Source organism: Homo sapiens, chromosome 7, assembly GCF_000001405.40.
Source record: "Homo sapiens chromosome 7, GRCh38.p14 Primary Assembly".
Lineage (NCBI taxonomy): Eukaryota > Metazoa > Chordata > Mammalia > Primates > Hominidae > Homo > Homo sapiens.
The window spans coordinates 20,226,075-20,240,242 of record NC_000007.14 but is presented as its reverse complement, the minus strand read 5'-3'; the positions used below and the strand labels follow the sequence as shown (position 1 = coordinate 20,240,242).

General features: G+C 38.1%; 1 annotated feature.

The window, feature by feature from the left end:
- Positions 6,737-6,786: a silencer, noted in NCBI's record as "silent region_17989". NCBI's record gives its function as "represses an Ori minimal core promoter by ATAC-STARR-seq in GM12878 lymphoblastoid cells {active_cell/tissue: GM12878}" and the evidence as "EXISTENCE:reporter gene assay evidence [ECO:0000049][PMID:35858748]".

Sequence of the window (14,168 nt, the reverse complement as noted above, 5' to 3'; positions counted from 1 at the left end):
AAGAAAGAATACGTACCTGTGTTTATGCACTAGATATTCTAAGAAAGAAACAGAAAATAAACTCGTTAGCAAAGAGAGATGAAGAAAATATCTCTGAGGAGGTGGTATCTAATGTGACAAGGAAAGATGAGAAGCAGAAAATAATGAAAAACAGACTGGAAGGATGGTTACCAGAGACTGGGAAGGATAGTGGGAGAGAGAGGGAGGTGGAGATGGTTAATGGTTACAAAAATAATAGAAAGAATGAATAAGGCCTAGTATTTGATAGCACAACAGGGTGACTCTAGTCAATAATAATTTATTTGTACATTTAAAAATAATTTAAAAAGTATAATTGGATATTTGTAACACAAAGTATAAATGCCTGAGGGGATGGATACCCCATTTAACTCTGATATTGTTATACATTGCATGCCTATATCAAAACATCTCATGTACCTCCCAAAATATACACATATCATGTACCCACGAAAATTAAAAATAAAACATTTTAAATAATAAAATAAAATCATAGAAAAAGCTAGTCAAGAAAGCCCAGGCAAAGAAAATGGAAGGATTGCCATTAGAAGTAGAAGGAATAGAAGGAGGTGGGTTTAGTGACTCAATATAGATTAAGAAGAACAAAAAACTCATTTGCAGAGCCAATAATGAATCAAGTTTTCAGAGATCTAATCCTGTGATTTCTGTTATACTTTTCTGTTTCCACAACAGTAGAATGAGAATAAAATGTACTGAAGAGCCATGAGGAGGTAAAGGAAAAAAAAATACTCAAATTTTAGCAGGTTTTTGAGATCTCATGAGACAAATTTTATTTCCAGAGAATTAATAACTCTATAGGATAATATAGTAAGGAAAAAAATTTTAGGATACACAACCTATACTTATAAAAACATGCTATTTTCCAGCAGTAAATTGAGGCACTGGGGATGTTGAATGTGTTTTTAAAAGTATTTTGAAATTTCAATTAAAAAGTTTTATTGAAAATGTTATTCATGACAGTGCTCCACTTAATGTTTCAGAAAAGTCATTGCTGATGTCAATATCTATGGAAAATGTGACATAATTTTTGTTTCAGGTCAAGGACTGCAGAAATAAATTTTTACTAATGATTACTTCCTCATTTTAATGAGGTACTTTTTTAGTATTGTTACTCTAAGGTGGTGACACCTCATTACTTGGCAAATTTACATGGTTTTCAGATTTCTGATTTATAGAAAGAAGACCGTGTGAAGCCCTAATTCACTCAGTTTCATTATGTATACAACTGATTAAAAAATAAGTCATGAGGGAACCACTAACAATGTGACTGAAACTTTGTGGTTATCTGCTAGACTGTTGAACTAATCCAACACACACACACGGAAGTTACGTTCTCTCTAAGACTGTTATGGCAGAGCAACTTCCAGCTGCTTATCCAAGTTCTATGCCGTGTAGCCTGGGCGTGGGCGTAGCTGTCACATGAACGCTTCAGGGGATCTGTCAGCATGGGAAGGACAAGAAGGTAATGGGCTTAGGATTCCTGTTCCATGCCCATGCTTGACGAAAGCTTGTTTAGAATATTCTTCTAGGATTCTTAAAAGAACATTGGAATGTCCCTGCGTTATTCCTCAATGTTGGCTGTGCTTCTCTGCTGGGGAAGGGGCTTATCACATGCGACCAAAGAGGAGCACTGTCTAAGCATCATTAGTTTCATCTCTTTTTTTTTCTTTTTGCGGGGGCACGTCTCCAATCTCATTCTTTCTCTGCTGTCTAATTCTCTATATTCTTGCTTCTCAAGGGGAGGGTCATGAACCAGCAGCATCACCTAGGAGCTTGTTAGACATGTGGAATTTCAAGCCCCCGCCACCAGACTTGCTGAATCCAAATCTGCATTTTAACAAAGAAGCCTTACACGCACATTGAACTTTGAATCTCTCCTCTACATTCACACATGCACAGGTTTCCCCTATCTGGCAAGGCTATCATCATACCTTGCCCCTGTTTCCTTGCTCTAATTATATTTTTCCTTTCTGTTATGGCCTGACTTACATGTGCTGCTTCAGATATTCCCTCCAGAACGCTCTGCAATCTGGCTTCATTTCTACCTGTAGTAGCACATGTAAGAGTCATTGCCCCTCAGCATCCTTTCTCCTTACCTCCCTGGGGATCTACCCCTCCTCCCTTTTCAGACCAGGGGCTGCATACCCTTCCCCCAGGCTACTGCGTATAACCACATTAAGTCAAATACTGCATAACATTCCTTCTGACCATGGTGATTGGTGCCCACAATGAGATTGTTTTGTGACCACTTAGAGCTAATGAGAAGTAATCAGAATTGATTGGGACTTCTGGAGAGTAAGAGTTCTTACTTTTCTTACTGTGGGGTTTCAGGATGACAGGATATAAATGCTAGGGTTTCTCCTGCAATCAGTCCTGCCTTTAGACCCAGGCAGAAGTGGCTTCTGCTCTGGACCCAGGGTTATGGTTTTCCTCTAGCTCTACTTCTTCACACTGGTCAGGGAATCTGAAAGGCCATGAGGGTTTACCACCCAGAACCCATGATATCCCCTTCTTCAGGAACCCAAGACTCTGAAATTCTCTGTCCAATGTACTCCAGTCTTGCTCCCAAAAAATTCCTTGGGCTGTCTCTCAAGGTGTGTCTTGCTACTGGTGGTATTCATACTTCTCCAGCTTGAGTGGTGGCCAGGGAAAGGTTTCTAGGAGGGGAGTGGACAGAGCTTTGTTCTGTGTGCCTTAGTGTGCACATGTGTCTGTCTATCCAAGTCCCTTTGTTATACAGGATGGAGCTGAAGGTGAAGAGAAGCAGACACCGACAGCCACCACTTTTCATTATTGTTGGTAGCTCATGAAACCTACCCCCACCTCTGCTCTGGAATGTCGCTGATGATGTCTTCATTGCCACAACTATCCCTCTGTTTTCTTTTTTTTTTTCCACACTTACCCTTTCATTTAGCACTATCGGCTCCTTTAGCATTTAGAAAACTCAACTATTAAGTACTTATATTATGCAGGAGTCAACCCAGTCTGTTCCCACCTCCCACCCACCCCCACCACCTCCCTGCCTCAGGTCTCTTCATGTCCTTAGGCCCTTCCTATTAAAAATGGTTTTTATCAGTCACCTCTTCTCCTTCCTCACTGCAAATGTGCTGGTTTAGTCACTTCAGTGGATTTCAAACTAGTCTCATTTTTCTTTAATGCTTCCTCTACATAATCATGAGAATGACCTTCTACCAGGAAACTAATTATATTCCTTTCCTACTTAATCATCAGTGGTTTCTCTCCACCTAGAGAAAACAGACAGTCCTCATCACAATCTACAAATCCCTTTATGTCCTGTCCCTTCTTGTATTTTAACAAGAAGCCTTACATGAGCATTAAACTTTGAATCTCTCCTCTACATTCACCCATGCACAGGTTTCCCCTATCTGGCAAATCTTACATGTCCCACCTACTTCACTCATCCAGCAAATATTTATTGAGTGTCTACTTTATGGCAGGTAGAATTCTAGACAGTGGGGATGCCATGGTGAAAAAGCTAGGGTTCCTGCTCCTAAGAAACTACTGGGGAAATATAGTAGACAAATAAACAGATAATCCAATAGGAAAATTAAATAATACACACACACACACACACACACACACACACACACACACACACACACATAACACACATCACACATATATGCTGCTCAGGGCTGAAAATATGGTTATTTGCTGAGCAGAGAATGAGGAGCTCAGCTAAGTTGTACGGTCTGCGGAGATTTTCTACACACATGACATCTATGCTGAGGCTTGAATGACTGGAATAGGACACTTGAGGTAGGGCCGAGTGAACTTTCTGAACAGAGCTCCCAGACAGTGCACAGACCCCAAAAGGGAGAACTACCACCCGCTCTTTGATTCTCATTGTATGCTTCAGCTCAACTCCAGACTTGCAGTTCCCTGAGCGTGGGAGGCTATTTCAAGCCCCTGGTCTTTGAATACGCTTTCCTTTGTGCTGCCCAGTCAACTACCGCTCTTCTTTCTAGTTCACACCCACCTGTTTGTTACCTGCTTTCTTAAGGCTGCCCTGTCTACTCTCCCTTGGCCAAGCAGATTGAGAGGCTCCCTCCTCTGTGTTCCCCTTTCTGTGCACAAACTTGAACCATAACTTTGTTATGGCATTGAGATTCTCTTAAAAGATGGAGAACGTCTTTTATCATTGTGTTTTTCCAGAGCTTTTCATATACTACACACTCAATACTTATTAAAATAGAGGAAGGAAACTTTTTTGAAAAATCTCTCTTCTATTAGAATCCTTCATGCCACTCTGCCTAAGAATGTTCAAAAACTCTCTTGATTTTCTTATTTTTCTTCTTAACCTACTCCTCTTTCCTTTTTTTCCTCTCTATCTAGTTGTTCAGGTTTTCTAGGGCCTAAGTCTCACATCTTTCTATTGCAGAGATTCCTTGAATTTTCAGCACTTCCACAACCATTTCTATATTAGTGATTTAAAATCTAATAAAATAAAACTAGTGGGTTTTTTAAAAGTCTTTATTTATATTTGGTACACTTTCAGTTCTTTGTTTTATTCCTTGTACTGAAGATCTGTTAAGAGAGGAAAAAACAGGGATAGTAGGCATAAAAATCAGTCAGCGTGTATTTTCAAGGAATCTCTGCTATCCTCTGGTGTGATAATTTGCAAGTAACTGAGTCTGACATGCTAAGTGCTTTTCAAGTGTAATATTAGTCATCCAGCTTTGACAAGAGTCTGATAACATGGGTATTTTATTATTTATACTTTACAGACGGGTCAAATGAGGCTGAAAGAGATTGGAAATTTGCCCCAAGCTACCAATATGTGTTAGAGCCTGGACTCTAACCTGCATCTGTCGAATCAACATTTAATCAGTAGTTCCAAAGGAACACTTAAGACGTGGCTTCAACATAGAATTTTTTATGACAACTCTGTACTTTCTCAACTTATCATTCTATAGCTATCTTTCAAGTAAAGCTAAGAGTGCAAGAGGTCTCAAATTCCTGCAGCCATTTGATATATGGGGGTTATATTTCAATCTTTTACTATCTTGCTTTGTCTCATCGATGAACAAGTATCTATAAAATACGACTTGTCTGAATCCACCTGCAATGTTTTTGTATTTCTTGCATACACAAAATCATTTTACAAATGTAAAGGGCAAGAATAAGACTCAGTGGTTTGACAGAATTTTTGCTATGTAAGTTAGGAGGTGGAAATTTGAAATTCACTAAGAATGCTGAGAGAGGTACATTTTGTACATCAAACAATATCACAATCAGGCTCCCGGTACACCAAATGGCTTCTTCTAGTTGATGTTTTCAAGATTAAGTATGCTTTTCCTATAGAGCTACAGTAAGACATGACAGCGATCAGATTCCTTGGCTGATTAAACACTTAGTGAACACTGAAATAGACTTCACACCTCTTTCCCTCCAGGCAAGACAGAAGCCCATGTGGGAGCTCAACAGCAGTCATCCTCTCTGGAGAAAGGGAAATAAATACCTGATCACTACAGTAATTCAATATCAGAAGAGAAACCCAGGAGCTGAGCACATTGCACAGTCCTCAGCAAGTGGTAAATAGCCAAATGTGACTTCAGTGGCAAGTCAGTCCACAGGCACTCAAAATCTTTTGATTTCTGAAGAAATAGTGTTGATCAATTTAGTCTGTGACTTAAAAAAGCAAGTGAACTCTGTAGTGATGAATTCTTATGACTACAAATAGCAGGGTGGGTTCACACAACAATGGATTTGAGGGTAGTTATGCAGTTCTGTGTTGTCCTGGGAGTTGTGGAGGAGGTTGCGAGAATGATTCTGCATTTGCCAAGTAAAGAATAATGCAAGCTATCCTCATCTCCAAGTTTAGATCTGACTTTCTTCTTCAAAATAGAGTTTCACATGGCTATGAGAGGATACTTGGGGAAGCTCTGGAGTTAGGCTACCTGGGCCAGAATCTTGACTCTGCAACTTACTAGATGTTTGACTTTGGACAAGCAACTCTGTTGCTTTCTTTACCTTTAAAATGAAGATGTCAAAAGTGCCTGTTTTATAGGATATTGGGAGTATTAGACTGAAAGATTCACCCAAAGAAGATAACGGGCTTCAGTGCAGTGCCTGGCACTTAGTACTACCCAATATATGCTACTTTCCTGTGATCCTACTACCTAGTCAAATGTAAGTAATCTGGCTTTGCCTCAAGTCACATTTTAAAATAGTGAAGTTGATGACCATTGTATTCCATATACAGTAAACACTAAGACATTAACCTTGCTATGTATCAGGGCACAAAGAGAAGTGTGCTGAACCCAGTTTGTATGTTCCCATCACGTAGATTTTCTTGGCATTGCCTGTCTGCCTACATGTACTCTTTTCCTGTTGTCATAAAGGTCATCACAGTAATCACCTCATTTCCAAAAAGCATCAGTTGTTTCTGCCTCCTCTAAGATGAAATGAGCCATTATAGCTCATTTCCAGCACCTAGGTCCAATCTAACAGGACCCATGGGGGCCAAGGTTTGTCCACTGACTGCCCAAAGGGGCTTGGCAATGCACTTCAGTGTTATGGGAGTTAATGCCCTGTGGGTGAACCTTGACTAATGAAAGAGACAAAGGAAGAATAAAGAGAAGAAGTCACTCATCTTTTTTTCCCAGAGGGCCTGGTCTGAGATACAATGGTTTCATGTGGAACCACCGTATTCGTGAAAAATCACCTAGTATTTGCTTCACTCTTTTCCTACCTCATTTCACTTTCTCTTTTACTCTTGCTTCCTTGGCACTGTAGTCGTCAATAAAGTGCCAGTAGGTTAGTTTCGCCTTAAGACACTGTTTTCTAGGGATTCAGTGACAAGAGGCAATACATGTTTTCCCATGATATGTAATATTTTAATAGCAACTTTAAAACAGTGTGATATTGACTACTTTATTGCCATGGCAACATAGAAGACTGAGGAATGTATTCCTCAGGAAGGAAGGAAGAAAGTGTCAGGTAGATTTTTTTAAAAGGATGAATAGAGTTTATGAAAGATCAATAGAGATGGGCAAAAGAAGCAGAAAGAACAAATTGAGTTAAGGCAAAGATGTATACATGAATGCAAACTTACTCTAAAGAGGGCCCTATGACTGAAGTGGAGGGTATGTGGAGGCATTGGTATAGATAAGTTAGAAAAGGATGCATGACTCAGGTTGCGAAGGGCACTGGATGCTATAGTGTTATACTTTGGTTTCACTCTAGGCAGACAGAAGCTTTCAAAGATTTTGAGTAAGGAGGTGATATGATCATATGAAAGATACTGGAGGTAAGCAGCCCACTTAGGTGGCTACTTGCCACAGTCCACATATCAAAAGACAAGAGCCCAAACTAATAAAGGGGAAAAACTAGAAAGTGAAGAATAAATGCTAGAGATACTGTGGAGGTAGAATCAAGAAGACTTGGAAAATTTTGCATGTGGAGTAAGACATTGGGGTCAATGATGATGTTCATATGTTAGCTACAGGAGAGAGGAAGACATAATTTTGAGGAAGAAGCTAATTTTATAATAATGTAGTTAATTTCTCCAATGAACATCTAGGTAAAAATTACTAAAAAATATTTGGAAACACAGATCCAAAACTAAAGAATGTTGCTACCTTTTGGATAGACTACTCAAAGGATTTCAAGACATTGTAGAATAATGAAATTTATAAATACAAATTCATCATGAAGTCCAACCATCTATCCCTGAAAACGTGCATAAAAGATAATGGGAAGCTCTAATAAGCTTGAATAAGGATGACTACTCATGCAATGAGCAGTAGAGATTACAAACAACTGGACTGAGATGTAAACTTATTAGTTCACTCTAACTTGAACATCTGGGTACCTTATAGAACACAGGAGTCAGATATAGCCTTCAGAAAATGACAAATTATTATGTGCTTGAGACTTTTAGGATCCTTCCTGATTATGCAAAATTGGGACTAGTAGGAATTATTTATAAGTATAAAAGACATTCATATTCAGGAATAAATGAACAAGGCAAGACAGTGGAGAAATAGACCTAAAAGTGTTTTTGGAATATAAAGATTTATTAGGAAGGAAAGAAAACCTCAAATATGTTTATATTCCAGTAAAATGTGGTCCAATTTTTAGAAATAATAATAGCTAATATTTATGAAGACATTATCACCTGCCGTACACTGCTGTAGGGGCTTTACATGTGTCAACTCTCTTAATCCTTGCAAAATCCTGATGATAGGTTTTATTATTACCAGTTCTTTTGAGATGAGGGAACTGAGGCACACTAAGGACGTAGATCACATGAGTGATGAGCCAGGTTGGAATGCTATGTCAGTGCTCCAGCCTTTAACCATGTGCCATTTAACCTCCTTAACCCTGTGAGAATGTAACGATATTTTTCACATTTGTATAGCAATTTATAGTTCTTAATGCATTATTTCATACTGATGTACAACAAAACTATACTTGGAAAGGATAGAGTGTTATTAAGGGAATTGAGGCTCAGGAAGTTTGCGTTCTGCAAGGTTATACAAGCTATTTTACAGCTTTTCTCTCACATGAGCTTACTTTGAAGGTAAATAATATCAAGCCTAGAAAATACTTAGATCTGAGTAGAGAAGATAAAAAATACAAAGGTAAGCAACCAGAATGTGATATAGGAAATGAAAATTTTACTTCCTACAATAAGCATTAGCCCTAGCAGCCTCCTTAGGGTCTGTTACTGGGGAGGGAGAGCTCCGACTGCCAGACTTCTCCATTGAACGTGTGTCCTCCCTCCACAGTTTGCAGGAAAATAAATGTACTCTATGAGATTAAATTAAGGGAAAGAAGACTCCAGATCATTTCACCCAAAGCCTACTAAGACATAGTGGACAACTCTTTTACACCTCACTGCCCTGTGTAATCTGGCCTTCAGTGTGCTCAGAAAATAGGACCATTTTCCCTTTATTGCTCCAAGAAGTTTTCTGGATAACTTTGTATGGAGATGAAAGAAAATGGCCATCCTTTTTCATAAAATGATTTAATTAATACTGTATCCTTAATGTTATTATGGTTTAGATATCACCAAACAATTGTGGATGAAGATGGAAACTCAGTCATTTATTCAACAAATATTTATCTCTAGTGAAGTGCGGCATTTGAGAATTGACTCTGAAACCAGACAGGGTTCAAATCTTGCCTCTGCCTTTTATTCCCTGTGAGATTGGTCCATGCCACAGTTTTCTTACCTGTAAATAGGGCCTAATAATAAATAGTACCTAGATCACAGAGTTGTTATGAAAATGAGATGCATGACACATAGATTCTACATCAATATTAGGGTATTATCAAGGGCTGCTTGTGTGCCAGGCACTGTTTTAGGGACTGGGAATAAAATAATTATCAAGATAGACAAAGCTCCTAATTTTACATAGCCTGTATTTAGTCATTCTAGTCAGAAAGATAGATAATCAGCAAGCATCAAGTTCAGTATACACTGTGGTTTCAAGTTGTGATCTAAATTGCATAATGGTTGTACATATTCTTATATTCAACAATATGATACTTAGATGGTTATATTAGCTAACTAGCACTTAACAGTTTTCAAGCACCATCCACATCTCTTATAATCATTGCACATATTTATTAGCTCAGCAGTTACTAGGCACATATTATTTTGAATCCTCCTCCAAATTCAGAAGGAGAAGAAATTGAGATTCAGATAAATTCAATAACTTGGTAGGTGGTGGAAGTAAAATCTAAATCCACGTTTGTCTCATTTTGAAGTCCATGCTCTTTCATTGCTCTGTACTGCCTTACAACCATGAGATGTGATGTAACAGAAATTAGATCCTTTTCCAGCTGAGGAAAGTGACTCAGATTGTCTTGGGTCAAGGTCACATAGCTTAGGAAGTGAAAGAGCGGGAGTATGAATCCAGGTTCTTGGATTCCCGTTTCCATTTTTGTTTTTGTTTTTTAACTATAGCAACAGAAAAATTTCACAAACACTTGAAGAATTGAAATACTGCCTAGATGTTCAAAGCACTCAAACTTTACTGTTACTATTCATATTATTTTATGACTTAAATCACATATGCTTTTAAAAATTCTTATCAACTCTGTGTATGAGTCATTTTTGGGGGGAGAAGAGGAAAAGAGGAAGGAAATTTCCCAGAGAGACAATTTTTAAAATAGTGGTTAGGTTCTTAGACTAGCCTATGAACGCCTCCTTAACATTTAGGGGCATGGAAATACAATGTTAATGGAAGTCACCAGTTTCTAATGATTGATTAGTTCTGTTTACTTACATAAGAGGAGTTTTCTTTCTAGGACAATCTGAATCAAAGTAATGGGACCGCTGTTCAGTTGGGAGAGGAAGGATGGATGTCAGTACAGAGAGGAAACACCCTGTTCCTCAGTGGGGCATTCATTATTCTGAGAAGGCTCTCATTGTCATTCTCCTGCAACAATCCCATGACAGCATTAGTGCAGACGTTTCTGACTTTTGTGTGAGACGATAGTCATATTCTCTACAGTTTTTAATTGTTTAAAAATAGCACAACTCTTCTTAAGTTAATGCAGTGATCTGTCAATTCTCCATCCCCAGTCCCTCTGAAAGGGATTATGTATAGAAAGATTATTTGGAAATCACTTTTCAAAGTAGTATTTCTGATACTTCTACAGCCTCAGTGATATTGGGAATATCTTCCAGGAGAGAGATCAACAGACAAATCAGTATCAGCAGCATTAATATAAAAAGAAATCGTGTGGTAGGGCCACAAACTATCCCTGTAAGGCTCTTAAATTGGCCAGAAATCTTCTTCTGCATTATGTGGTTTACCTTTTGGCAATACAAACACGTGTATCCAAATGAGTCCCAGAGCTCTTTTATATTTCAAAACTTTTACTTTCATCTACCCACCAGTGAAAATAAAAGGGACTTTTCTCGGTTGAATTTCTTCTTTGGAATCCTAAAGCATTCCCCTAAAGTGTTTCTGATGCACACAAACCTTATGAAATCACTTTTTTTCCCCCGTTTACTACATGGTTTCTTTTAACCACTTATACAAAACATTTATTTAAAAATATGCAGCATCATGGTTTCCAGTGTATTGGCACATTGATGATTCCAGAAAGAAGACTGATATTAAATATTATCATGCTATGGTAGAAAGAACACTGGATTAAGAGCCCAGTTCATCCACTAAGAAGACTCATCTGACTCCTTTGAGTGCCATTTTGTTGTAGTGCTTCATACATTGTTGTATGTTGCATGTGTCAGGGCTTAGAACAAGATACTCTGGAGTATGGTGCCTTGGCCTGCTGAGTAATTCAAACTGAAGGAGAATGGGAGAGCCTCTGAAGCAATGCCTCCCTGACCTTCTTTGTTTACCCTCTTTCCATTATCCCCAAAGTAGGTCATAGAAACTTGAATTCCTCTCCCTAAAGCAAACCATAAACTCTAGAAAGGTCACTTTCTTTCTGACCTTCCCCTGCTTTTCTGTGTGAACATAGTCATGAAGGAATTCTTGGACCTACCTGGCCTGAAAGTAGGTCTTAAGACCTTCATTCCAGAGGGGTTCTATCCCAGACTTAGGAGGAAGGAGATGCTATACAGAGAGGTCAAGAAGAATCTGAACAAACAGGCCTTTCTGTTCAAACATATTTGTATACCACTGTACATTCTTCATCAAACCCTGGCACAAAAAAATACATGTTTTTCTGTGGGTCTTTTGGTCTTCATTTCTGAAGGCTCCTACTAATTTGTCTTTTATTATAGGAGTGTCAGCCATAATCCTTGTGATGGGCAAGTGGAAGGTATTCCTTTTTTCTCCTCCACATATGAATAAATATATATTGTGTGAAATTACAAAAATAAAGGTACTCTGAATCTTAAGAAATTCTAAGTAACCTTTCAAAGATAAGAATCTCTCTTCAGCTTGTATCCTAGTGTCTCTCTAATCTCCTTCTTGTGTATCTATAAATGGCTCTGGCATCATTACAAATTGAGCAGCAGGCTGCTTTCTAGATAATTAGCATATTATTAATCTCCTGCAAAATTGAGTGGAATAGGAGCAAATCTGTTTTATAGATTTAGATAATACCTGTTTTGTAGGTATAAAATAGGTATTTGCCCCCACGTAAAATAACTTTCTTATAATTACAACAAAATTCACTAATTAGGTATCTTCAAGAAGTTAGTGCTTTAAAATGATATGAAAAGTTTAAAATAATTTAGTTGCATAGAATAATTAATATGAACAGTATCTTTGGTTTTAGTCTTAAACATATTTGATATTTTGTCTTTTCTTACATATGCTGAAAGTATTTTGGTCATGTTTATTATAAAAAGCCTGATTGATTCCATCTGGTCTTTAAACATAGATTTTTGATCTTAACAATGTAAAATTGCCAGTGCCTGTTCCGTTAATGGGAAACTGATTACTCAATTCTAGGATGCTTGAAAGTAAGAAGAACATATATTTGTTGGGCAGCATTTAAAACTCCTCTAGAGGAACCTTAGTAACTTAAAAAAGCTAATATATGTAATTAAGATAAACTATTTCCTTCTTACTGGCAACATCAGTCTTAGGATGACCTCCTAAGAATACCAGCTTAGAATTTAGGGTGACACATTACCTCAATCTGTTTTGCCTGGGGCTAGTTAATCTCATTTCCCGGAAAGCAAATGAAATCCGTAGGCTTGTATTTATTTAATATGGACTCTATGACTTTAAGCACTAACTTTAGTAATTCTTAATTTTTTTTCTGAAATGGAAAATGGGAAATCACTGTCACAGTTTTCCAGTTAATTGCTCTTTTTCAGCAATGGCCACACACATCTGGATGTGTGTCTAGTTATTACCCTAGGTATTGTGTAAGAAGAAAGTCTGTAAAATATAATTGGGAAAAGATGAGAAACTGTGCTTCTTTTGTTAGTGAGGTTATCACTCAAAATACCACTAACAAGTACATTTTAGCAAAACTCTCATATATTTCTAAAAAAATTCTTTATCAATTTCTTTGATAGGACCATATTATCTTTTTTTTTGGAGAAATTTTAAACAAAGATATAAATTTTGTTTCCACTAAAATCTGATACACAAAAGGAATCTAGTGTTTGCCATTCAGTCATGCATGCAAGCTATGTTCAGCAAACATTTACTGTATCCCAGACACCATGCTTGCAGCTAGGAAAATAATGGCGAAGAAACACACACAGGCCCTGGCCTCCTAGAACTTATCTGAAAAGCAAACATGAATTCTTCACAAAAAATTTTTTTTTTTTTTTGAGATGGAGTTTCACTCTTGGTGCCCAGGCTGGAGTGCAATGGCATGATCTCAGCTCACTGCAACTTCCACCTCCCAGGTTCAAGTGATTCTCCTGCCTCAGCCTCCCCAGTAGCTGGGATGACAGGTGCCTGCCACCACGCCCAGCTAATTTTTGTATTTTTAGTAAAAACGGGGTTTCGCCATGTAGGCCAGGCTGCTCTTGAACTCCTGACTTCAAGTGATCTGCCTGCCTTGGCCTCCCAAAGTGCTGGGATTATAGGCGTGAGCCACCACGCCCAGCCAATAATTGTTGTGGAATAATTATCTTTTTATAGATACTCTAAAGAAGGCTTTTCTGTGGAACGGCAAAATCCAAAGGTAAAGAGGGAGGAAAGCATTTCAGGTACAACATTTCATTTCTTTGGTGGAAGAAAGCTGAGAAAATTCCAAGAACTAAAATAGGTCCTCTGGAGCAGAGCAAATCATTAAAGAGACACTTGATGAGAATGGAGAGATAGGAAGGAACTAAAGAGACCACGGAAGGGCTTATTGGCCAAATACTGATTTCAGCTTTACCCTGAGAACAAAGGAAAGCTATTTAAGAATTTTAAAGCAGAAGCATTGCATTTACTTTTTTGGGGGGAAAAACTATTTTCAATGTAAGAAGTGATTTATTGAGCACCAAAATGGATAAAGAGAGGCCAGCTGGGTTACTATAGTATTCCAGGTAAGGAATGTGGGTAGTTTGGAGTAGGGCAGCGTCAGTGAACATGGAAAGAGGAATACAGGTGAGATCTACTTAGGAGGTAAACCTGACAGCAGGGGCTGATAGATTAGATACAGGGGGAGAGAGGAGCAGAAAGAAGGATGGGTCCTGGGATTTTGGCTTTCAAAATTGAGTG